At 37.9% G+C, this 26,824-nt stretch overlaps 1 protein-coding gene across 1 annotated transcript; it reads left to right on the top strand.

Moving 5' to 3' along the window:
- Positions 1–6,666: 6,666 nt before the first annotated feature.
- CCL8 (C-C motif chemokine ligand 8) lies at positions 6,667–8,634 on the top strand. Its single transcript, NM_005623.3, has 3 exons — positions 6,667–6,809; positions 7,501–7,618; positions 8,034–8,634. Exons 1-3 carry the CDS (start codon positions 6,734–6,736, stop codon positions 8,137–8,139), a joined length of 300 nt encoding a protein of 99 aa, NP_005614.2. The 5' UTR covers positions 6,667–6,733; the 3' UTR covers positions 8,140–8,634.
- Positions 8,635–26,824: the final 18,190 nt, after the last annotated feature.

Raw genomic sequence — 26,824 nt, forward strand, 5'->3', positions numbered from 1 at the left:
ATAATCTGTATATTTAGGAAATGAGGGGATTCAACAGACAAATTCCATTTTCACCCCTAGTCCTTAAATGTGTGTCTTGGACCACATCACCATGGCCACCAGCAAAGACAGAGCGGGGGAAGACAGTAACCAGAATCTACACTACCAAGCAAGCCAGTGACCCAGCATTATGCAATATTTGCCCAAATAACCAGCAGGGCAGGCCAGGAGACTTCTACGCACATCCCGATAGCACCCCGAAAGCCCCAGGGGCAACTGGACAGTTCACTGTCATCAAGACAATTTCTTAGTTCTCATAATAAAACAGTTCTGCCCACCTCTCCTCCTTACACCTAGCCACATACCCAAACCTCATTCAAGAGTTTATCCTAAAATTCCAATTGATTCCAGGGAGTTACAAAGGACAAGAATAGACATCCCTGTACAGTTTATTGGGGTTCAGAAGTTCCCCTGTGCCAAGCAAATATTAGGCATTGAGTGGGGACTGGTGATACAAAAGCTTGAAATAGTAAATTCCGTGTTCCCAAGTCTGAATGGAATCTGTTCATGCTCCTTTGTTGAGACATGTTAAGTAACCCTCCTTGAAATTATTCATCTGTTTTCCAGCTGGGCCCAGGATTGCTTATCCTTGCAACATGAACTTACAGAGACAAAAAAATAAAGATTCTGGAGCCTCCATTACAATGAAGACTCTACCAGGTACCAGGGACCAAACGAGATAGTCCACTGTGTAACAGGGCATGGTGACCCCGTCGCTGAATTCTGGTTTTGATTCTTTACTAAATTGTCAAAGTGACTTTGGGGAAATCATTTTCCCACTCTGTGCCTCAGTTTATACATCTGTAAATGAGGCATTTGAACTAGATTAATGACTCCCAAAATGGCTTTGGTTAAAAATTACCTGGTCACCTAGACCACTTCAGAAATAGAGAATTCGGGGTTTCATCTCTGAAGATTCTGACTCTGTATTTTGGTGTAGGTTAAGGCATCTCTTCTGCATTATTAATAATTGCCCCAGGCATCTGGATATTCCAGGAGGCAGGTCTGAAAAGACCAGTGCACTGGAGAGTCTCTGAGGTTTCTAGACACCTCACTGTAGGTTTTCTGCATGGTTCTTGCCCTCTAATTGGAATTCCATGATGGCTTCTGTTCTGACATTCCCACTTGCCAGTGCTAGCTTGTCATGAAGTAGCCGCACAACCTACAATAAATCATTTCACTTCTGTTGTTGTTTCATTTGTAAAGGGAAATACTTGAATAAATTAAATGCAACTGCCTCTTTCAACTCATTCTATAATATTGTGATCATTAAGGACAGTTGGAGCAGAGCTGAAAAATGAAAGCAGAAATTCTGCTTCCCAGGATGCTCTCCCACCTAATTTCACTCCTTGAGAACCAGGTAAGAATCTAGAAGGTCTGGTTCCATAGCAAGGTATATATTTCCTGCCCTTCATTCACAGACCGTTGTTTCTGATCTCAGGCTCTGCTCCATTAGCCACTGAGCCACAGACATATTTGTTCTATATGTCCTATTTCACATAGTTGTGAAGTCCACCTTAGGAAACTGCTCATGAGGAAGCCACCGAAGAGAAAAGAAACAGGAAAGGCAGAAGGACCACTTCTCTGAACAACACAGCCAGGCCACTGGACAGAACAGCTGCTGAATTTGCATGCCCTAAGTTTCGTTTTAACTTTTTACATAAGGATTTCTCAAATTCAGTTTAAAAACAAGAGAGGGAAATTGCGTAATGAAAGCGGCTTGCCAACTGAGATTCCTAAACTCCCTGCAGAATTAGAATTCTGATGCCCCTTGGCATCTGTTAGCACTGGGATCTGACTTCCATTCCCTCTGAGTTCCCAGAGCCATCTAGTATTTTGGTTCATGGCAGGATCCCAGGATCTCACTTTGCTCCCGTTCCTGGGAGACACTTTTTTTTCCTTCATCCACAGCACAAATATTCCCCAAGGTCCATCCCTATAACACATCTATATCCACTTATCTTCTGGACACTACACCCACCTTACTTAACTATTGATTACAGTTAGTTTATTGATCACCTACCATATGCTACTCACTCTTCAAAGCAAGTTTTGGGTATCAGATAATATTCATAAAATGCATAAAAATAAATATCAATTTCCGCACAAGAAAATTAAAGAATAGGTAGGAAATTGGAATATAAAGAAGTTAAATAACCTAAGCCTTCTCTGACAAATATATTAACCAGTGTTCCCAGTATCCAAATGAAGACTTTTAACCATCATGCTATTCTGCCTGTCTATTTTAGGACTGACAGCCAGGAACACTTCTCTGACATTTCCTAGCATCTGAGCCTCTCTGCTCTTTGATTTGATTATTTGCAGACAATCACAGGTGAATCAAGTTAGAGAAGAGCTTAAGTACTATTTAATTCTGGAATAGGTTACATAGATGGTACCACTCCTTATTACTGTACTAATAGCAGACATCACTAATCAATCACAGCATTATATTCACGGTAATGCCTCATTGTTTTAGTTTTACAACAAAACTTTCTAGTCATCTATCACCAATTCATAAAGTTGGCACATGATCAAAAACTACTTGTCATCCCAAAACCTGTCAAAACCCCATACTTCATAGATGAGGATAGTGAATCTCAAAGTCAATAAGACTTGCCCAAGGCCACTTTGGGCAGGTTATTGGTGAAATCAAGACTAGACTCAAGTTCCTTGACACTTAATTCCCTTCATTTTTACTAGCCTTTTTTGATTCCCAATAATTATAATTTTCATGACTATTTCTGTTGTCTGTGCATGGATGCACTTTTCGTTTGAAGTCAGCTCAGAGGAAAATTAACAAAGTCCTCAGGGTATTACATAAGACAATGGCTTTATTGCTGCTTGGAAAATACACACAAACTCCACCCCTAAACCAATACCCCCACCCCATGCACACACTCAGATTGATGCTACACAGTACACCTGGCAGAGAACCATCCCCTAAAATGATTAAAAAGCTGCCATCCTGAAACAACTCAATTTCCTTTCTGATTAAAGGAAATCCAAATGACACACATGTTCCATATACTGCAAATTCTTTACTGTTAAAAGTTCACATAGTAATTGTAATAAATGAAAAATGCATGAGGTAAATGTTTAAAAATCTCTTCTGAATCAAAACAGTAAAAACCCACCTGATTTAAGAACAGGAGCATATTAACCACAAGAAAAAAATAAAGCAACTAACATACATATTCAAAAGCAAATAAAGTAAAATGTAAGCAAAATAATGGTGAGCCTTTTGCTTCGATTTACTTTATTTCGAAGTATAATTCAATATACTGTCCAGTAAAGTGCAGGCATTTTAAATGTAGAGTTTCATGAATTTTACATGTGTAGTTAACCATTTAACTACCTCTCTGATCAAAATCAGAGAGGGAAGCTTCCAAAAGTTTCCCTCATGATGTCCATACCTGCAAAGGAACCACTGTTCTAACCTCTATCACTGTACGTTTCTTTTGTCTTTTAACAAGAAAAATATCTTCTTCTTAGCAACTATAAAATGTTTTTAAGAATAATACACTCACATTTAAGTGAAGGGGCAAATTTTCCAGCAATGTGTTCATTTGATTAAAAGTCTTAATAATATCCACATATTTTGATTTATTAATTCTTTGGCTAGAAAATTAAACGAAGACATTAATAATAATGTTATATCAGCTTTTCCACAAGTATTGTGTAAAACCATAAAAATGGAAATGGTATGATTCCCAACTATGGAGAAGTAAATTCTTAAGTTAATTATGGTGCACTGATATATATGAACTCCTATAGAGCTTTTAAAGTTCAAGATTATTGGGGAATATTTACTGTCTTGTGAGAAATCTAAACACACTAATTGAAAAGGCAGTATTCAATCTTGGATTTGGTGGTGAAATTTTAGATATACACCCTATAGTTCAACAATACATTGCCAATTACTAACCGATGTTATTTCTATAAAACAATGAGAATTCCTGAGGAACAAATTTTGTAATTGCCCCCTCTCCTCCCTTCCTAATTCATTCTGAGTCCAGAATGACCCTAACATCAAAACCAGATAAAGACATTACAACAAAAGAAAACTATAAACCAACAGAAATCTATAAACCAAACTCATGAACAAAATTCTCAACAAAATATCAGCAAATAAAATCCGACAACATATAAAAAGAATTATAAGCTACAACCAAGTGGAATTTATTCCAGGTATGCAAGGCTGATCCAGCGTTCAAAAATTGGTTGATATAACCCATCATATCAACTTTCTAAAGAAGGAAAATCTTATTATAATATCAATAGATGGAAAATTTTTTTTGACACAATTCAACAGCCATTCATGATTTAAAAAAAAAAACTCTCAGCAAACTAGGAATAGAGGGATACTTCCTCAGCTTTATAGAGTGCATTAAAAAAGACCTACAGCAAATATCATACTTAATGGTGAGAAACTAGATATTTTTCTCCTAAGATTGAGTATAAGGCAAGGATGTTTCTTCTCACCACTCCAATTCAACATAATACTGGAAGGCCTAGCCAACACAACAGCACAAGACAAGAAAATAAAAATATATACAGATTAGAAAGAATAAATAAAACTGAATTTATTTGCAGAAGACATGATTGTCTGTGTAGAAAATTACAGAGAATCAGCAACAAAAAAAAGTCATGCCACTAATAAGCAATTTTAGCTACAGGATACAAGGCTAATAGATAAAATTCAATAACTTCCTGTATATCAGCAATGAGCAACTAGAATTTGAAATTAATACACAATACTATTTACATTAACACCAATAAAATGAAGTGTTTAGAAATTAGTCTAAGATGTACAATATATATGAGGGAAACTACAAACTTCTGATGAAAGATTAAAGACGATCTAAATAAATGAAGAGATATTCCACATGTATGGATAGGTGGAGTTAATGTTGTCAGCATGTCAGTTCTTCCCAACTTGATCTGTACCTTCAACACAATCCCAGTCCAAATCCCAGCAGGTTCTTTTTGGATGTGATAGACTGATTTTAATGTTTATATGGAAAGGTTAAAGATCTAGAATAGCTAACACAGTACTGAAAAAGAATAGTCAGAGGACTAACATTACCCAACTTCAAGATTTACTATTAGGAAACAGTAATCAAGACGGTGTGGTATTGGTGAAAGAATAGACAAATGGATCAATGGAACAGAATAGAGAGCCCTCAACAGATGAATGGATACATAAAATGTACTATATACATACAAGGGAATATTACTCAGCCTTAAGGATATGTAGCATATCATATGCTGCCACATAGATGAACCCTGAGATCCTTACGCTAAATGACATAAGCCAGTCACAAAAGAAAAATACTATATGATTTCACTCACATGAGGTAGTTAGAGCAGTCAAAATCAGAAACAGTAAGTAGAAATGGTGGTTGCCAGGGGCTTGGGGGAGGGGAAACTGGAGATCAATAGGTATAGAATTTCTGTTTACAGATGAAAAGAGTTATTGAGACTGTTGCACAACAGTGTGAATGTTCTTAATGCCACTAAACTATGCACTTAAAAATGGTTAAGATGGTATGTGCATTTTTACCACAATAAAAATAATAAATGAATAAAGAACAAAGGAAGTAATTAGCTATCAAACCACAACAAGGCACGGAGAAACCTTAAATGCATATTGCTTAGTGAAAGAAGCCAGTCTGAAAAGGCTGCCTACTATATGATTCCAACTATGCATATGATACTTGGGAAAAGACAAGCTCACAGAGATAGTAAAAAGATCAGTGGTAGCCAGAGATTTGTGGAGAGGAAAAAGGATGAATAGAAGAATACAGTGAATTCTTAGAGCAGGAAAACTTCTATATGATATTGTAATGATGGATAGATCAGGCCTGCAGGGGGAGTAGATGAGGTCAGTCTTTTGCAAACCTGGTTCCTTCTTGCCACGCCCCGCCCACAGCCCCACTGTGTGTGAACCAAGAGAGTTGGAAGGCCTTCTGCAGACGGACCCATTCCACCTGAATCTCCATGACATATTGGACTTCTCCATATAATTTCATTTGGAAAGAAACTTGAGCATCTAAATAAAATGTTTGGAAACCACCATGCTACAAGACCAGCATGTGCTGTCTAGTTCTTACCCTCTGCAACAGTAAGATTCTGGGGCATTAAGACTTAGTTCCAGGATTCTGTCATTCTGCCAACGTTCTGTGGCTGGGGTTCTAAAGGAGCTTGCCTGGCTTAGAACTGCAAGTGACTCTAGTGTGATGGAGAGCACCAGCAAAGCCTTAGGGCCCATCCCTGGCCTCCTGTTACCCACAGAGGGGTAGGCCCTTGGCTCTCTTCCACTATGACGTCAGCTTCCATTCTTCCTTTCTTATAGACAATTTTCCATTTCAAGGAAATCAGAGCCCTTAATAGTTCAGTGAGGTCACTTTGCTGAGCACAATCCCATACCCTTCAGCCTCTGCTCCACAGAGCCTAAGCAAAAGATAGAAACTCACAACTTCCTTGTTTTGTTATCTGGAAATTATCCCAGGATCTGGTGCTTACTCAGCATATTCAAGGAAGGTCTTACTTCATTCTTCCTTGATTGTGACCATGCCCAGGCTCTCTGCTCCCTATAAAAGGCAGGCAGAGCCACCGAGGAGCAGAGAGGTTGAGAACAACCCAGAAACCTTCACCTCTCATGCTGAAGCTCACACCCTTGCCCTCCAAGATGAAGGTTTCTGCAGCGCTTCTGTGCCTGCTGCTCATGGCAGCCACTTTCAGCCCTCAGGGACTTGCTCAGCCAGGTAAGACCTCTCCCTTTTTAAGGGGAGACCAAAAGAGGAATTAAGAAGAGCCATTATGTCACAGCTCATTAGGAACAAAACCAGAACTAAAGGCTCAGGTCACTGAGGCTGGTTCCCTTGATCTTTCCTGACCCCAGTTTTGGGAGGAGACAGTGGAGCCGCTACAGCAACAACCCTCCCATTGTTTGGGGAAATAATCCAGAACGAAGAACTGTTTCTCACTGTGGGTGTAAAGGACATTTCAGGCCGTAGTGGAGAGGGAGAAACTATTGCCTGAAGCTTCAAATTTTGGTTATGGTTCAGTGTACCTTCCAGAACAGTGGCTGTGTAAAGAGGATGAGGACCCAGAGGAATCTCAGCGTATGGCATAGGCTAACTCTAAAGCCCATGAGGATGAAAGACTGGGAAGCAAGGTATTGGAACTTATGTTCCCAGTGTCAGAAGTTTTGGGTTAGTAGACAAGGACTAGCTTGTTACTCAAAATGTTTCCAAACCCAGTCAACAATGACGGGCCGCAGAGTTCAATAGAGGAAAGAGACTCACAGGCAACATTTTATCTCTGGGATCTGGACTAAGACACTGAACTTGGGATGGTGACTTCTTGGTCTTCTCCTTCCTTCTCTTCTTTTCCTTACAAATGCACACTTACGGTGGGTCCTAAATGTCTCATTCTTTGCAAAATTTCTTTCAGATTCAGTTTCCATTCCAATCACCTGCTGCTTTAACGTGATCAATAGGAAAATTCCTATCCAGAGGCTGGAGAGCTACACAAGAATCACCAACATCCAATGTCCCAAGGAAGCTGTGATGTGAGTGGACAGTGCCTGGCACCCCCATTCAAAAGTTCTGATGGACAACATAGAGAAGTCAAGATTCATGTCCATATGAGTCGGATGCATATAACTTCTATCCAAAGGGCCCCTCTACCCCATAGAGAAACTCAGTCCATGAGAAGGAGTCCATAACTGCTCTAGGATTCCCTTCTAGGGGCTTGGTGAAACTAACCCAATATCTGTAGCCAGGACCCTGGAGGGTTTCACCTGGACAGCAAGAGCAGAGCTTCCTTCTGGAGCTTCTTCCTCCCACTCTTCCCCTCCCTCCTCTCCCGGGTCCGGGTCCTTCACCTAAGGACCAAGGGCTGATCAGTTCTAGGGACCAATGGCCCACAGTCCTGTGCAGGATCTTCAAAGTCTTCCATCTAATTGTGCCCTCTCTCCCCCACAGCTTCAAGACCAAACGGGGCAAGGAGGTCTGTGCTGACCCCAAGGAGAGATGGGTCAGGGATTCCATGAAGCATCTGGACCAAATATTTCAAAATCTGAAGCCATGAGCCTTCATACATGGACTGAGAGTCAGAGCTTGAAGAAAAGCTTATTTATTTTCCCCAACCTCCCCCAGGTGCAGTGTGACATTATTTTATTATAACATCCACAAAGAGATTATTTTTAAATAATTTAAAGCATAATATTTCTTAAAAAGTATTTAATTATATTTAAGTTGTTGATGTTTTAACTCTATCTGTCATACATCCTAGTGAATGTAAAATGCAAAATCCTGGTGATGTGTTTTTTGTTTTTGTTTTCCTGTGAGCTCAACTAAGTTCACGGCAAAATGTCATTGTTCTCCCTCCTACCTGTCTGTAGTGTTGTGGGGTCCTCCCATGGATCATCAAGGTGAAACACTTTGGTATTCTTTGGCAATCAGTGCTCCTGTAAGTCAAATGTGTGCTTTGTACTGCTGTTGTTGAAATTGATGTTACTGTATATAACTATGGAATTTTGAAAAAAAATTTCAAAAAGAAAAAAATATATATAATTTAAAACTACTTAGTCTTATTCTTCTTGGGGTAACATTTAGCTGGGAGTGAGTTTTGGGCATCATGGGTGACAGTTTGGGCATGGACGGGCCATTTTTCAAGAATGTCTTCTGGCTACGCTGGACTCAACCAAGGTTCTCAGAGAACTTGGTGGGACCAGGCCAGGATGTTCCAGCTCTCTGACTCTAGTCCCTAACTTCAGCAGCCCTGATTCGCTAGCCTCTCTTGTTTCTCTTGTTTATATATTATCCAGCCTAAGGTATTTTGTTATAGCTGCCCAAAAAGACTAAGATAATCTCCATCACTCTACCCCCAACCCCAATCCCAAGAACTTGCAAGCATCCATTTAAAGGCGTGGAACCTCTTCTTTTTGACAGCCTTTTAAGGTCAAGATTCCCCTGTACTTAGTGAGCTTAGCTGAATCTTCTTACAAACATGTGACCCGCCATATTGAGCCATACATACCAGAGCTTATTATTTTTCCAGCTTATTGGGAAAACACGTCTAAGGCAAACAAATTTATTGTACTGTTGAACCAACTCTGCAGGGCCTACTGTTAATGTTCATGTAAAGGTGCCACAATTCCAGTATATTTGGAAGTATAGAGAGGAAAGAGATTTGGGTTCTGCTCCTAAGAGTAACCTTAACTCTCTTGGTCACTTAGGGTGACATAATTTTTCCCTTCAGCATTAAGATGCCCCATCCAAAAATCAGGATCATACTGTGTCACAGGCAGGAAGTGAGAGGATCTAGCAGATGACTACACAAGTCCCTCCAGCTCTAGAGCCATGTCTCTTAGAAACAAGGTCATGTTTGTTGTCTGGGGTAGAGTGGGGACATAAAGTTCCTGGGATTAAAGCCATAAAGGCAGCCAGGGCCTAGCTTATTGGAAAAACACATCTAAGTCAGATACCCCTTATTTGGAGACAAGCTTTCCATTAAAGTTCAAAGTAGTACACCCACAGTTCCAAGAGCAATAAAGCAGCTAAGTGTCAGATGGACTAGAGGGGCACCTCCCAGGCAGGGTCCACAAAAAAGCTCCATCAAACTCTAAGCTCTTTCTTCAATAGCTTCAAGGTCAATTGGGCACAGATATGTGGGTCCTGGGCTTCATGAAATCCTGGACCACAAATCCCAAATTCTAAAGGCAAGAACACTCACACAAAACTGACACCAGGCCACAGCAAAAAGACACAAATTTGTTCTTCTCAAATTTTACCCAGCTTCACTTTGGGATTATGTCATTATATTTCAAATGACAATGAGCATAATACACCTTAAGTAACATGTCATCTTATTTAAGTGGTTGATGTTTTATGTGCCCTGACTTGAATATATGTGTTTTAAAAATCCACATCCTTCCATAAACTGGTTCAGATCTGTAAGCCCTGCTTTGCTGTCTTGTAAACTGGGGGAAAGACCTGGAAAGGTCACTCAAAGCTGACATACAACCTCAGGCTCACCTCAGTTTCACCCTCAGCTAAGGCTGACCATTTGTGGCAGTCCATGACTCACTTGATTCACTCAATATCTGCTTTCTGCCTCTTCTCACTTCTCACTTGCTGCCCCCAGGCTTCTCCTGGGTGTCATCTTGGGTCAGGAGTTGACTCCACTGCACACTTGTCCAAGTTTCAGAAGTGTGGAAGAGTGAACATTTTGGGTGGTAACCGTCCACAGTGAAGGGTGAAGGCAGATGTTCAAATGCTTCTGCCATCCCTTTTACCAGTTCTGCTCTGATCTTGGTTATTTCTTTTCTTCTGCTGGGGTTGGATTTGGTTTGTTCTTGTTTCTCTAGTTCCTTAAGGTGTGACATTAGATTGTCTATTAATGCTCTTTCAGACTTTTTCTTTTAAATATAGGCATTTAATGCTATGAGCTTTCCTCTTAGTACCGTTTTTGCTGTATCCCAAAGGTTTTGATAGGTTGTGTCATTATCATTGTTCCGTTCAAAGATTTAAAAAATTTTCATCTTGATTTCATTGTTGACCCAACAATCATTCAGGAATACATTATTTAATTTCCATATATTTGCATGGTTTTGAGGTTTCCTTTTGGAGTTGATTTCCAATTTTATTCCACTTTGGTCTGAGAGAGTACTTGATATAATTTCAATTTTCTTAAATTTGTTGAGACTTGTTTTGTGGCCTATCATAATGTCTATCTTGGAGAATGTTCCATGTGCTGATGAATAGAATGTATACTCTGCAGTTGTTGGGTAGAATGGTCTGTAAATATCCCTTAAGTCCATTTGCTCTAGGGTATAGTTTAAGTCCATTGTTTCTTTGTTGACTTTCTGTCTTGATGACCTGTCTAGTGCTGCCATTGGAGTATTGAAGTCCCCCACTATTATTGTGTTGCTATCTCATTTCTTAGGTCTAGTAGTAATTGTTTTATAGATTTGGGAGCTCCAGTGTTAGGTGCATATATATTTAGGACTGATATTTTCCTGTTGGACTAGTCCTTTTATCATTATATAATGTCTCTTTTTGTCTTTTTTAATTGCTGTTCCTTCAAAATTTGTTTTGTCTGATATAAAAATAGCTACTCCTGCTCATTTTTGGTGTCCATTTGTATGGAATATCTTCTTCCACCCCTCTATCTTAAGCTCATGTGAGTCCTAATGTGTCAGGTGAGTCCCCTGAAAACAGCAGATACTTGGTGAATTCTTATCCATTCTGCCATTCTGTATTTTTGAAGTGGAGCATTTAGGCTATTTACATTCAATGTTAGTATTGAGATGTGAGGTACTACTCTATTCATAATACCATTTGTTGCCTGAATACCTTTTTTTCATTGTGTTATTGTTTTCTAAGTCCTGTGAGATTTATGCTTTCAGGAGATTCTAGTTTGGTGTATTTTGTGGATTTGTTTCAAGATTTAGAGCTCCTTTTAGCAGTTCTTGTAGTGCCGGCTCGGCGGTGGCAAATTCTCTCTGCATTTGTTTGTCTGGAAAAGACTATCTTGCCTTCATTTATGAAGCTTAGTTTTGCTGGATACAAAATTCTTGGCTGATAATTGTTTTGTTTAAGGGGGCTAAATATAGAACCCCAATTCCTTCTAGCTTGTAGGGTTCCTGCTAAGAAATCTGCTGTTAATCTGATAGGTTTTCTTTTATAGGTTACCTGGTACTTTTGCCTCACAGCTCTTAAGAGTCTTTCCTTCCTCTTGACTTTAGATAATCTGATGACTACTTGCCAAGGTGATGGTCTTTTTACAATGAATTTCCCAGGTGTTCTTTGAGCTTCTTTTATTTGGATGTCTGAATCTCTAGCAAGTCTGAGGAAGTTTTCCTCAAATATGTTTTCTAAACATATTTGGGGAACATATTTCTAAACATTCCCTCAAATATGTTTTCTAAACTTTTAGATTTCTCTTCTTCCTTGGGAACACCAATAATTCTTAGATTTGGTCGTTTAACATAATCTCAAGCTTCTTAGAGGCTATATTCATTTTTTAAATTCTTTTTTCTTCACCTTTGTTGGATTGGTTTAATTCAAAAGCCTTGTCTTCAAGCTCTGAAGTTCTTTCTTCTGCTTGTTTGATTCTACTGCTGAGACTTTCCAGCACATTTTGCATTTCTCTAACTGTGTCCTTCATTTCCAGAAGTTGTGATTGTGATTTATTTATGCTATCTATTTCACTGGAGATTTTTCCATTCATATGCTGTATCTTTTTTTTTATTTCTTTAAGTAGGACTTCACCTTTCTCTGGTGCCTCCTTGATTAGCTTAATAATTGACCTTATGAATTCTTTTTCTGGCAATTCAGAGATTTCATCTTGGTTTGGATCCATTGCTGGTGAGCTAGTGTGATCTTTTGGGGGTGTTGAAGAGCCTTGTTTTGTCATATTACCAGAACTGTTTTTCTGGTTCCTTCTCATTTGGGTAGGCTGTGTCAGAGGGAAGATACAGGACTCAAGGACTGCTGTTCAGATTATTTTGTCCCACGGAGTGTTCCCTTGATTTGGTGCTCTTTCCTCTCCCCAAGGATGAGGCTTCCTGACAGCCAAACTGTAGTGCTTGTTATTTCTCTTCTGTATCTAGCCACCCAGCAGAGCTACTGGGCTCTGGGCTGGTACTGGAGGGTGTCTGCAAAGAGTCCTGTGATGTGATCTGTCTTCAGGTCTCTCAGCCATGGATACCAGTACCTGCTCCAGTGGAGGTAGCATGGGAGTGAAGTGGACTCTGTGAGTGTTCTTGGTTGTATTTTTGTTAAGTGCCTAATTCATTGTTTTATACAGTTAATATTTCTTTCCCTTCTCTTTGGTCAATACCTGGATCTCAAAAGGCAAGCTCACTAGAGTCAGGGCCAGGAACTCAGTTGGGTACTTGGTTGGTGTGTTCTCCAGGGTTGGGGATAAGACTAGGACTGGGGACTTACCCAGCATGATCTTTGGAGCCAGGACTGGGGCTGACATTGCAGACTCAGTCGACGTGCTTGGTAGGTTTGGGTTCAAGAGGACAGCCCACAAATCAGGAGCAACAGGGCTGGGGCCAAGTTAGCCACATAACTAGGAGTATGAAGACACAAAAATGGATTGAGCAAATAATGGAAATGGAAATGTATCAAAGATAATGGAAGTCAAGTCACTCAATGTTGAAGAAGCTTCTATAAAAAATACAGAAAGTTGGAGGGAAAAAAAATAAAGCAAAACAACAACAACAACAAAAAACTCTGGGATGTTGGCCTGGAATTGGAGGTGAACTCACTGTTCATTAACTTATTAGAGGTAAACTCATGGTTTTAAATATAGATAGGTAGATGGAAGGAAGGAAAGAAGAAAGGAAGGAAGGAAGAAAGGAAATGGTGATTAGTGGGAACACATAAACATAGGTATACTAGTTATGTTTACTGAGAAAGCCTAGAAAGAATGACACATGGGGTGGTAATGTGCGCTTCAGTGCCCAGTTTATAAATACTATCCTCCACTATAGAAACAAGAGCTCCTGGGATAAGTGGCTGACTCCAGAATTAGAATATTCTATCGTGTCAAAGAGAAAGGGATTACTCAAAGAAAGATGGAGACGTGTCAAAAACATTTAAAAACCAATCTGGGCTGGGTACAGTGGCTCATGGCCAGGCTTGGTGGCTCATGTCTGTAATCCCAGCAACTTAGAAGGCCAAGGCGGGAGGATCACTTGAGGCCAGGGGTTCAAGACCAGCCTGGCCAACATGGTGAAACCCCATCTGTACTAAAAAACTACAAAAAGTAGATGGGTATGGTGGTGCATGCATGTAGTCCCAGCTATTGAGGAGGCTAAGGCAGGAGTATCGCTTGAACCCGGGAGGCAGAGGCTATAGTGAGCCGAGATCGTGCCACTTCACTCCAGCCTGGGTGACAGAGTAAGACTCCGACTCAAAAAAAAAAAAAAAAAAGAGCCAACCTGAAGAGTCTCACACTGGCCAATTTGGGACAATTTGATAACCAAAATAAATACATTTTTTATTACAAAATAATTTATTTTAGCCCATTGAATAAAATCAAAGAAGATAAAGTTTTATCGTAGAATAAAATGCTAACCAATGCATATAGATGGAATGGTGAAGTTAGAAAATCACCAACTTCTAACCATCAGAGTAAAAATTGATTCAGGCAAGAATCATCTATGGATACTAAAACTCATGGGTGAAAATTTAACTATTGACATAGCCTCAAAGTATCTCCCCACAACATAATTAATAACATGAATTAATAAGTACAAAACACTTATTAATTAACATATATAATTAAGAGAAGAGAAGAGACTTGACAACATTTTAACCAAGTAATAAAAGCTAACATCACCAGTAATGGGGCAAATCAGCCTGAATATCTCCTGATAATGGTGCACTGAGAAGGACACAGCATTACTTCAATTACTTTCCTGCTAAAAATACATCAACTGAATCTAATCAGGAGAAAATATCAGGCAAATCAAATTGAGGGAGATTCTGCTAAGTAACTGATCTTACTGTCAAGGTCACAAAATATAAGGAAAGACTGAGCAACTATTTCATATTGATGGAAACTAAAGAGACATGACAGCTAAATGCAACATGATCTTGGATTGGACCATGAACCTGTAAAGGATATGATTAGGACAATGAAAAAAGCCTTAATGAAATATTTGGATCAGATGGTGACATTAAACTGATGTTAATTTCCTGATTTCATATTTTTAATGCCGTTGTTCTGTAGCAGAGTATCTTTGTTTTTAGGAAATATACTGAACTATTAAGGTATAATTAGGCATTCTGTCTACAGTCTAATCTCAAACGGTTCAAGACACAAAACACTCCCTTTAAAGATAGAGAGATAGATCATTCTATATCACATATTTATGTGTGTGTATGTTTGTAAGTGTGTGTGCGTGTGTGTGGGGGGGGGCGTGTAACACCAGATGCTCCACATCTGGTATTGCAACACTTGGTATTGTTGTTCTTTTAAAAAAGCTGGCCGTGCAGCCATAAAAAAGGATGAGTTCATGTCCTTTGCAGAGACATGGATGAAGCTGGAAACTATCATTCTCAGCAAACTAACACAGGAACAGAAAACCAAACTCTGCATGTTCTCACTCATAAGTGGGAGCTGAACAATGAGTACACATGGACACAGCGAGGGGAACATCACACACCAGGGCCTGTTGGTGGGTGGTGGGCTAGGGGAGGGATAGCATTAGGAGAAATACCTAATGTAGATGACGGGTTGATGGGTGCAGCAAACCACCATGGCACATGTATACCTATGTAACAAACCTGCATGTTCTGCACATGTATCCTAGAACTTAAGGTATATTTTTAAAAAAGCTAGCCATTATTATTATGTGCATGGTTCCATCTCATACGGTTTCAAATTGCATTTCACTCATGAATAATGAGGTTGAGCACCTGTTCAAATGTTTGGTGGCTATCCTGTTTTATAAAGTTCAAGGCCATGTCTTTTGTCATTTTTATTTGGGATTGTCTGTCTTTTCATTATGAATTAGAAGTATTTTCGACATTCCAGATTGGAACCCTTTGTCAGGCATAAGAATTGAAATATCTTCTCATAATCTGTGATTTGACTGTGTACTCCCTTAAAGATGCTTTTTGATTAAAAAAAACAAGTTCACAATTTTAATATAGTCCATTTATCATGTTCCTTCATGGTTTATACTTTTGTTTTCTGTTTAAGAAAACTTTTTAAAACCTAATGTCATTAAGGTATTCTCTTATGATATTTTCTAGAAACTTCATTTCTTTTTCTGTTCACATTTAGAGCTACAATCTACCTGGAATTAATTTTTGTGTATGCTGAAAGATAGGAAAGATAGGAATCAAGATTATATTTTTTCCTATAAATATCTGATTCCTATAAATATCTTTACTAACTAATCAAAGCACACGAGTTATTTAAAAGACTATTTTTCCTAACTTCTTTAGAATGCAAACTTTGTTATAAATCTGATGTCCATATACGTATGATTCCACTTCTGTACCCTCTAATCTGTTCCCTTGGTATATTTTCTATTCTTGGAGTAATGGCACATGTTTTAATGACTACAACTTTATAATAAGTGTTAATATCTGGTAGTATAAGTTCTACATCTTTGTTCTTTATGATTGTCTTGATGATTTTTGGCTTTGTATTTCTCCTTATATAAAGTTTAGAATAAGCTTATCAATTTCCATGAAATACTTGCTTGGATTTTAATTGAGATTACATTGCATTTGTGGGGGAATTGACAACTTGATTATTCAGAGTCTTCCAATTCGTGTGCATGCCATATCCCTCTGCTTATTCAAGTCTCTTGATTTCTCTTAGTAATGCTTAGTAGTTTCCGAGGTATTGCACGTGTCTTGTCAGATTTATTCTTAGGTATTAAGGTTTTTATAAACTATTGGAAATCGTGTCACTTATGAAATGTCATCTCTTAATGTTAGTTACATGTAAAAGTAAAATCAATTTTTGTATTATTAATGAGCAATTGTGCTAAATTCACTCAATTATTTATAGCTTATGTGTAGACTCAGATGTTTTTTATGAAACCCATGTTTCATGCCAAAATATGACAGCTTTATTCCATCCTTTACAATCATGATAATTTCATTTCAGATTCTTATATCTCATTTACTAGGACCTCCAGTGCAATGTTGAATAAAAGTGGACAGCTCTTGTCTCAGTCCTGCTCTCAAAGGGAAGTTTTCAATATTCTACTATGAAGCGTTATGCTTGCTGGAGGTATTTTGTATATGCTGTTTATCAAATTAAGGAAGTTTCCTGTATTTGTTAGTTTGCTTAGGGTTTTTTTTTTCTTTTAGCTTTGAAATGGCTTTGAAACTCAATAAATGATTTTTTAATTCAAATGATCATATGATTTTTCTACTTCATTTTATAATTGTGATAAAATACATTCATTGGTTTTTCCAATTTTAAAACAAGCTAATATTTTAAAAATCAAACCAACCTAGTTACAATGTATCATTTTTTCAGGTATTACTGGATTCCATTTGCTATTATTTAATTCAGGACTGTTACATCTATGCTCATGAAAGATACTGCCCTATAATTTTTCTTTCTTGAAAGTCCTTCTCAGGGTTTGGCCTCAACATTATAATGATTTTATCAAATAAACTGGACTGTGTTTCTTGTTTAATTATTGTCTGAATATATTTTTATAAGAATTCATGTTTTTGCTTCCTTTAGTACTTAGAAGTAAAGCATTCTGGAATTTACCTGTCAAAAGTTTTTAATTACAGATTCCACTAATTACTAGAATTGAAATATTAAAATGTTCTATCTTTCTTGGTTCTCTTTAATAAATTGTGTTTTTCTCACATTTTATCCATTTCATAAAATTTTAAAATATATCTATCTGAAGTTGTTCACTTTTTTTATTATTTTGTAACATCTGTAGTCTCTGTAATAATGTCTTCCTTTTGATCTCTGATGTTGCTAAATTGGAACTTTTCACTTTTGATTCCTTGGTCAGTCTTGCAAAGGGATTAACATTTTATTAATCTTTTCAAAGAGCAAACTTTTTGCATTGGCATTTTTCTTCATTGCATGTTTATTTTATGTTTTCATTAATTTCTGCTTTTATTTTTTTTGTTCCATTTTTTGGATTTGATTTTCTACCTTTTTTCTAATTCTTGAGAAAAATACCTAGATGACTGATTTTAAGTTTTTCTTTTTAATACATGCATTTAATTCTATGAATCTCTGTCTTTTTCATTGGGTAAAACCACTTTATTAACTGATCAAAGTACTTCATTTTGTTTCCTGATTCGAGGTTCAACCATTAAACACAGTTCACAAGAAAATACAATGATTACTTAACTAACTGCAATTACAAGAGTTAGAAATCTCCCTAGTTGTTCACATAATACTTGTACAAATTCACACAATCGTGTGGACCACTTAAGCTTAGTGTGAACCAAAAGAGCAAACCATAGTCATGGCTAGAGTTTTGTAATAACAGAAGAGTAATTGTTACCTTATGAATATACTTTAAAAATCACTTGGCTAGTAATTGTACTGTTTCCTCATTGCTCTGGGGTGTGTATGAAGGCTCTTAGGAGAGCAAACATCTATTTCTGTTCTGTATGCCTCTCTCTCATTTCAAACTGTGTAAAATAACTATTGCCCCACCATGAACATTGGGGATTGGAAAGATAGTCCTACAATCTTCTTCATAGGTTTTGGCTTTTAGGCAAGCCGGCTGGTTTTCTCCAAAGCTTTCTTTTGAATCTTCAGATACTATTTTAATCCTAAATGTAGATTACTGTGTTTGTGAGGGTATCTAAGTGACCATGTGATGGCAAGGACAACAAAGTAGTCCAGGAACACAGTAAGTGAGTGTGTGTGTGTTTGTGTGTGTGTGTGTTTCCAACTGAGCCCGGCTTTGAGATTTCATTTTGTTAGTTGACAGCTCTTTAATCAATACCAAAGACTCTGGAACACTGCAGATTTGCTATGGAGGTAGATAAAACAAATCAGGCAGTTAAGTCAATTGAGAAAAAAAGGGATTTTCCATCTTTAGATAATATCACGACTAACAGTTGATTCTTTATTCTTGGTGCACATTTAACATTTCTACCTATTTTGGGAAATATTCAAGTCTTCTTCTTTTTTTTTTTTTTTATTGTTCATTCTTGGGTGTTTCTCGCAGAGGGGGATTTGGCAGGGTCATAGGACACTAGTGGAGGGAAGGTCAGCAGATAAGGGTCTTCTTACCTGTCTCTCAGAACAAACACATTTAAATTCAGCTTGTATTAACTACAGATAAAAGAAAAAAACAGTATTAACATTTGTATGACAGCACTGCCGTTCACTTTCTGGATTTGTGACACACAAACATCATGCATTCTAAGACAGAAGTTAATTTTATCAGTGTCACTAGTGTTGTTAATTTTAAAAGATACAGCAAGTTCAAAGCTTTTCCAAAAATTGAAATCACCATGTTTTAAGACAGACTGGAATGTTACAAATGATTCTGTAAAATAATCATTTTTCTGTACATTCTCATCTTTTGGTTCTTCCTTATCTGAATCCACAGTGGGTACCTCCCATCCTTCAGCAGTTTATCCAGGTGAGAATACTTGAATGTGAACTGAGAGGCCCAGTCACTCAGGGTCTCCTCCTGGGCAGGAGGGAGGTCAGAAAGGTCATCATGCTTGTCCTGCAGTGCTCCCTTATCCAGGCAAAATGTGGCAGGGCCCCTGGATGTATCTCTTTCGGCAAAGATCCTGTGTGGCCCCCTGGCCCTTGGAACTTGCAACCTCTGGTCACGCTGAACACTTTGCCCTTGCTGGTGTGGCCATGAGAATGTGCAGGTCCTAAACCCCATTGAAGTGCTGCAGCTCGGCAAGGGAGAAGTTGTACCTGTTGCCACCACATCTTTGGCAGCAAAGTTTAGGCCAGGCTAGGCAGGGCTCTGGAGCTCCCTGCTTTCTCCTCCCTCTCAATGAGTGAGTTGCCGCTATGAATCTCTTTTTTTTTTTTGAGACGGAGTTTCACTCTGTTGCCCAGGCTGGAGTGCAATTGTGCGATCTCAGCTCACTGCAACCTCCACTTCCTGGCTTCAAGCGATTCTCCTGCCTCAGCCTCCCGAGTAGCTGGGATTACAGGCGGCCACCACCACGCCCGGCTATTTTTGTATTGTTAGTAGAAACAGGGTTTCACCACGTTGGCCAGGCTGGTCTCGAACTCCTGACCTCAGGTGATCCACCCGCCTTGGCCTCTCAAAGTGCTGGGATTACAAGCGTGAGTCACTGCAACCGGTCGCCACTATGAATCTCTTAAACACAGCTTTTAAAGCTCACACATTTTAATATGACACATTTTCATCATAATTTACCTCAAAATATATTCTCATTTCCATTGTGATTTCTTCTTTGATCTATGAGTTATTTAGACAAAATTGACTAAAGTTTTAAGCTTTGAGATATTATAAAAATAAATCATTTTATTGTTGGTGTTAATTTAATTCCATAATGGTTAAAGAACACATTCTATGTGTTCAAACCTTTTCTATTTTTGAGATTAGCTTTGTAGTCCAACATAGAGAGTCAGTTTGATAAATGTTCCACGTGTATTTGAAAAAATGTATATGCTGAAGTTGTTGGTTACAGACATGTCAACTAAGTAAATTTTGCTTGTAGTGTTTTTCTACTCTAATGACATTTTCAGAAAAAAAAATGAAAGCTGAATGAATTTGTTACTAGAATAACAATATTTCACTATGAGAAAATCTGAAGGGAAATGATTCCAGTGGAAACACAGATCTTCAGGAAGTAAACAACAGCACTGTAAATGATCAGGAGCAAGACAAGAAGCATCTCCTATTCCTTTTCAACATTGTTCTCAACGTCCTAGGCAGTGCAATAAGGTAAGATAAAAAGAAACAGAGACATAAGGATTAGAAAGAAAGAACTTAAAATGTCATATACAGGTAACATGATTATATACATAGGAAATACAAGGAGATCTACAAAAACTACTAGAATGAAGTGAATTTCTCAAGATCACAGGAATTAAGCTAATATACAAAAATCACTTGAATTTCTATATACTAATAAGAAATTAGAAATTAAAGTTTTAAAAATCCATCTATTGTATCATCAAAAATAGAATAAGAATAAGAATAAATTTAACAAAAGATGTGTAAGACCTCTATACTGAAAACTACCACACATACTCAAGGGAAAATGAAGAAGGACCTAAATAAATGAAGAGCTATATACCACATTTATGGAGCAGAAGGCTCGATAATGTTAAGCTGTCAATTTAGGATGGAGCTGGAGGCCATTATCTTTAGCAAGCTAACACAGAGACAGAAAACCAAATACTGCATGTTCTCACTTATAAGTGGAAGCTAAATGATGAGAAGACATGGTCACATGCAGGGAAACAACACACACTGGGGCCTTTCAGAGGGAGGATCTGAAAGATCCTACCCACACTGGGCGGAGGGAGAGGATCAGGAAAAATAACTAATGGGTACTAGGCTTAATGCCTGTGTGACAAAATAATCTGTACAACAAACTCCCATGACAGAAGTTTACCTATGTAACAAACCTGCACTTGTATCCCTGAACTTAAAAGTTTAAAAAAAGTCAATATAATCCCAATTAAGTCCCCATGGTCTTTTTTTTCTTAATTTTTTCCAACTGTTATTTTAGGTTCAAGGGGTACATGTGTAGATTTGTTACATGGGTAAATTGCATGTCGTGGATGTCTGGTGTACAGATTATTTTGTCACCCGAGTAATGAACATATTAATCAGTCGTTAATTCTTCAAATTTCACCTTCCTCCTACCCTTGACCCCCAAATAGTCCCTGGTGTCTATTGTTCCCTTCTTTGTGTTCATGTGTACTCAATGTTTTCCTCCCACTTATAAGAGAGAACAAGCAGTCTTTAGTTTTCTGTTTCTGTACCAATTTGCTTAAAATAATGACCTCCAGCTCCATCTATGTTGCCTCAAAGAATACGATTTTATACCTTTTAATGGCTGTATAGTACTCCGTGATGTATATGTACCAAATTTTCTTTTTAAAAAAATTTTATTTAACTTTAAGTTCTGGGATACATGTGTGGAATGTGCAGGTTTGTTACATAGGTTTACACGTGCCATGGTGGTTTGCTATGCCTATCAACCTGTCATCTAGGTTTGAATCCCTGCATGCATTAGGTATTTGTCCTAATGCTCCCCCTCCCCTTGTCCCCCACCCCTGATAGGCCCTGGTGTGAGATATCCCCTCCCTGTGTCCATGTGTTCTCATTGTTCAACTCCCACTTATGAGTGAGAACATTCAGTGTTTGGTTTTCTGTTTCTGTGTTAGTTTGCTAAGAATGATGGCTTCCACCTTCATCCATGTCCCTGCAAAAGACATGAACTCATTCTTTTTTTATGGCTGCATAGTACTCCATGGTGTATATGTGCCACAATTTCTTTATCCAGTCTATCATTGATGGGCATTTGGCTTGCTTCCAAATCTTGGCCATTTCAAATAGTGCTCCAATAAGCATACATGTGCATGTGTCTTAACAGTAGAATGATTTATAATCCTTTGGGTATATACACAGTAATGGAATTGCTGGATCAAATGGTATTTCTGGTTCTAAATCCTTGAGGAATTGCCACACTGTCTTCCACAATGGTGGAACTAATTTACACTCCCACCAACAGTGTAAAAGTGTTCCTATTTCTCCACATCCTTTCCAGCATCTGTTGCTTCCTGACTTTTTAATAATCACCCTTCTAACTGGTGTGAGATGGTATCTCATTGTGGTTTTGATTTGCATTTCTCTAATGACCAGAGGTGATGAGCTTTTTTTTTTTATGTGTTTGTTGACTGCATAAATGTCTTCTTTTGAAAAGCATCTGTTCATATCCTTAACCCACTTTTTGATGGGTTTTTTTTTTGTAAATTTGTTTAAGTTCCTTGTAGATTCTGGATATTAGACCTTTGTCAGATGGGTAGATTGCAAAATTTTTCTACCATTCTGTAGGCTGCCTGTTCACACTGATGATAGTTTCTTTTGCCGTGCAGAAGCTCTTTAGTTTGATTAGATCCCATGTGTCAATTTTGGCCTTTGTTGCAATTGCTTTTGGTGTATTAGTCTTTAAGTCTTTGCCTATGCCTATATCATGAATGGTATTGCCTAGGTTTTCTTCTAGGGTTTTTATGGTTTGGGGTTTTACATTTAAGTCTTTAAGCCATCTTGAGTTAATTTTTGTATAAGGTATAAGGAAGGGATCCAGTTTCAGTTTTATGCATATGGCTAGCCAGTTTTCCCAGCATCATTTATTAAACAGGGAATCCTTTCTCCACTGCCTGTTTTTGTCAGATTTGTTGAAGATTAGATGGTTGTAGATGTGCAGTGTTATTTCTGAGACCTCTGTTCTGTTCCATTGGTCTATATATCTGTTTTTTGTACCGGTACCATGCTGTTTTGGTTACTGTGGCCTTGTAGTGTAGTTTGAAGTCAGGTAGCATGATGCCTCCAGCTTTGTTCTTTTTGCTTAGGATTGTCTTGGCTATATGGGCTCTTTTTTGATTCCACATGAAATTTAAAGTAGTTTTTTCTAATTCTGTGAATAAAGTCAATGGTAATTTAATGGGAATAGCAAAGAATCTATAAATTACTTTGGGCAGTATGGCCATTTTCATGATATTGATTCTTCCTATCAGTGAGCATGGAATGTTTTCCCATTTGTTTGAATCCTCTCTTACTTCCTTGAGCAGTGGTTTGCAGTTCTTGAAAAGGTCCTTTATGTCCCTTGTAAGTTGTAACGTTGTATTGCTAGGTATTTTATTCTCTTTGTAGCAATTGTGAGTGGGAATCCACTCATGATTTGACTCCCTGCTTGCCTATTGTTGGTATATAGGAATGCTTGTGATTTTTGCCCATTGATTTTATGTCCTGAGACTGCTGAAGTTGCTTATCAGCTTAAGGAGTTTTTGAGCTGAGATAATGGGGTTTTCTAAGTATACAATCATGTTATCTGCAAACAGAGACAATTTTACTTGCTCTCTTTCTATTTTAATACTTTTTATTTCTCTCTCTTGCCTAATTGCCCTGGCCAGAACTTCCAATAAGATGTTGAGTAGGAGTGGTGAGAGAGAGAATGCTTGTCTTGTGCTGGTTTTCAAAGGGAATGCTTCCAGCTTTTGCCCATTCAGTATGACATTGGCTATGGGTTTGTCATAAATAGCTCTTATTATTTTGAGATATGTTCTATCAACGCCTAGTTTATTGAGAGTTTTTACCATGAAGGGATATTGAATTTTATTGAAGGCCTTTTCTGCATCTATTCAGATAATCATGTGGTTTTTGTTACTGGTTCTGTTTATGTGATGGATTACATTTATTGATTTGCATATGTTGAACCAGCCTTGCATCTCAGGGATGAAGCTGACTTGATCGTGGTGGATAAGCTTTTTGATGTGCTGCTGGATTTGGTTTGCCGGTATTTTATGGAGGATTTTCACGTTGACATTCATCAGGGATATTGCCCTTAAATTTTCTTCTTTTGGTGTGTCTTTGACGCATTTTGGTATAAGGATGATGCTGGCCTCATAAAATGAGTTAGGGAGGAATCCCCCTTTTTCTATTGTTTGGAATAGTTTCAGAAGGAATGTTACCAGCTCCTCCTTGTACATCTGGTAGAATTTGGCTGTGAATCCATTTGTTCTTGGGCTTTTTTTGGTTGGTAGGCTCTTAATTACTGCCTCAATTTCAGAACTTGTTATTGGTCTATTCAGGCATTCAACATCTTCCTGGTTTAGTCTTGGGAGGGTGTATGTGTCCAGGAATTTACACATTTCTTCTAGATTTTCTTTTTTTTTAATTACAATTTATTTTTATTTTTTATTTTTGAGACAGAGTCTCCCTTTGTTGCCCAGGCTGGAGTGAAGTGGCATGATCTTGGCTCACTGCAACCTCCGACCCCCAGGTTCAAGTGATTCTCCTGCCTCAGCTTCCTGAGCAGCTGGGATTATTGGCGCCCACTACCACACCCGGCTAAATTTTTTTGTATTTTCAGTAGAGATAGGGTTTCACCATGTTGGCCATGTTGGTCTCAAACTCCTGACCTCAAGGGATCCACCCACCTTGGCCTCCCAGAGTGCTAGGATTACAGGCGTGAGCCACCATACCTTGTCTCTTCTAGATTTTCTAGTTTATTTGCATAGAGGTGTTTATAATATTCTCTGATTATAGTTTCTATTTCTGTGGGATCAGTGTTGATATCCCCTTTATCATTTTTTCATTATCACATTTTCCTTATTTTGTCCACTGTTGATAGGCATCTAGGTTAATTCCACATCTTTAATATTGTAAGAAGTGCTGTGATGAACATGTGTGCATGTGTTTATGGTAGAATGATTTGTATTCCTTTGGGTATATACCCGTTAATGGGATTGCTGGGTCAAATTGTAGTTCTGTTTTAAGTTCTATGAGAAATCTGCAAACTGCTTTCCACAGTGGCTGGATGAGTTTACATTCCCAGCAGCAGTGCATAAGCATTCTTTTCTTCACAACCTTGTCATCATCTGATATTTTTTTGACTTTTTAATAATAGCCATTCTCAGTGATGTGAGATAGTATCTCACTGTGGTTTTAATTTGCATTTCTCTGATGATTAGTGATGTTGAACATTTTTTCATATGCTTGTTGGCCACATGTATGTCTTCTTTTGAAAGACATCTATTCATGTTTTTTGCCCATTTTAATGGGTTGTTTTATGCTTTTTAATTTAAGTTCCCTATAGATTCTGCACATTAGACCCTTGTTGAATGCCTAGTTTGCAAATATTTTCTCCCAGAGAACAAAGACTGTCTGTTTACTCAGAGATGATCATATGGTTTTGTTGATAATTTCTTTTGCTATGCAGAAGCTCTTTGGTTTAATTAGGTTCACTTGTAAATTTTTGTTTTTGTGGCAATTACTTTCGGAGACTTTGTCATAAAATCTCTGCCAGGGCCTATGTTCAGAATGATATTTCCTAAGTTTTCTTCTAGGGTTTTTATAATTTTAGGTTTTACATTGAAGTCTTTAATTCATCTTGAGCTGTTTTTTGTGTATGGTGAAAGGAAAAAGTCCAGCATACACCTTCTGTATATGGCTAGCCAGTTATCGCAGCACCATTTATTGAATAGGGAGCCCTTTCCCCATTGCTTGCTATTGTCGACTTCGTTGAAGATCAGATGGTTGCAGGTGGACAGTTTTATTTCTGGGTTCTCTAACCTGTTCCATTGGTCTATGTGTCTGTTTTTATATCGTTGCCATGCTGTTTTGTTTTGTTTGTTGTAGCCTTGTAGTATAATTTGAAGGCTGGTAATGTGATGCCTCCAGCTTTGTTTTTTGTTTGTTTTTTGTTTGTTTGTTTGCTTAGGATTGCTTTGATTATTCAAGCTCTTTTTTTTTGGTTCCATATGAATTTTATAATTCTTTTTCTAATTTTCTGAAAAATATCATGTGTATTTTGATAGGAATACCTTTTAATGTGTAAATTTCCTTGGGGAGTATGGCATTGTAACAATATTGATTCTTCCTATCCGTGAGCGTGGAATGTTTTTCCATTTGTTTGCATTACTTCTGATTTATTTCAGCAGTATTATGTAATTCTTGTTGTAGAAATCTTCACCTCCCTGGTTCGCTGCATTCCTAGGTATTTTATTCTTTTTTGTGGCTGTTGTGAATGTGATTGCATTCTCAATTTGGCTATCAGCTTGAACATTATTAATGTATAAAAATTGCTACTGATTTCTGTACACTTATCTTGTATCCCAAAACTTTGCTGAACTGGTTATCAGATCTAAGAGGCTTTGGGCAGAGAATATGCAGTTTTCTAGGTGTGGAATCATATCGCCTGTGAGTAGAGATAGTTTGATTTCCTCTTCTTATTTGAATACTTTCTATTTCTTCCTTTTGCCTGATCGCTCAGGCTAACACTTCCAGTACTATGTTGACTAGGAGTGGTGAGTGTGAACACCCTTGTCTTATTCCAGTTCTCAAGGGAGATGCTTCTTGCTTTTGCCTGTTTTGTTTGATCTTATCTGTGGGTTTGTCAAAGAAGGCTCTTATTATTTTGAAGTATGTTCCTTTGATGACTAGTTTGTTAAGGTTTTTAACATGAAGGAGTGTTGGATTTTATTGAAAGCCTTTCCTGCATCTATTGAGATGATCATGTGGTTTTTGTTTTTAGTTATGTTTATGTGATGAATCACATGT

Source organism: Homo sapiens, chromosome 17, assembly GCF_000001405.40.
Source record: "Homo sapiens chromosome 17, GRCh38.p14 Primary Assembly".
NCBI classification, from domain to species: domain Eukaryota; kingdom Metazoa; phylum Chordata; class Mammalia; order Primates; family Hominidae; genus Homo; species Homo sapiens.

Bases quoted from the DNA above. Each gene is read 5' to 3' on its own strand.
- CCL8 (NM_005623.3), top strand. From the start codon at position 6,734: ATGAAGGTTTCTGCAGCGCTTCTGTGCCTGCTGCTCATGGCAGCCACT. The intron at 6,810-7,500 runs GTAAGACCTCTC...AATTTCTTTCAG, and splicing joins TCAGGGACTTGCTCAGCCAG to ATTCAGTTTCCATTCCAATC. The intron at 7,619-8,033 runs GTGAGTGGACAG...TCTCCCCCACAG, and splicing joins TGTCCCAAGGAAGCTGTGAT to CTTCAAGACCAAACGGGGCA.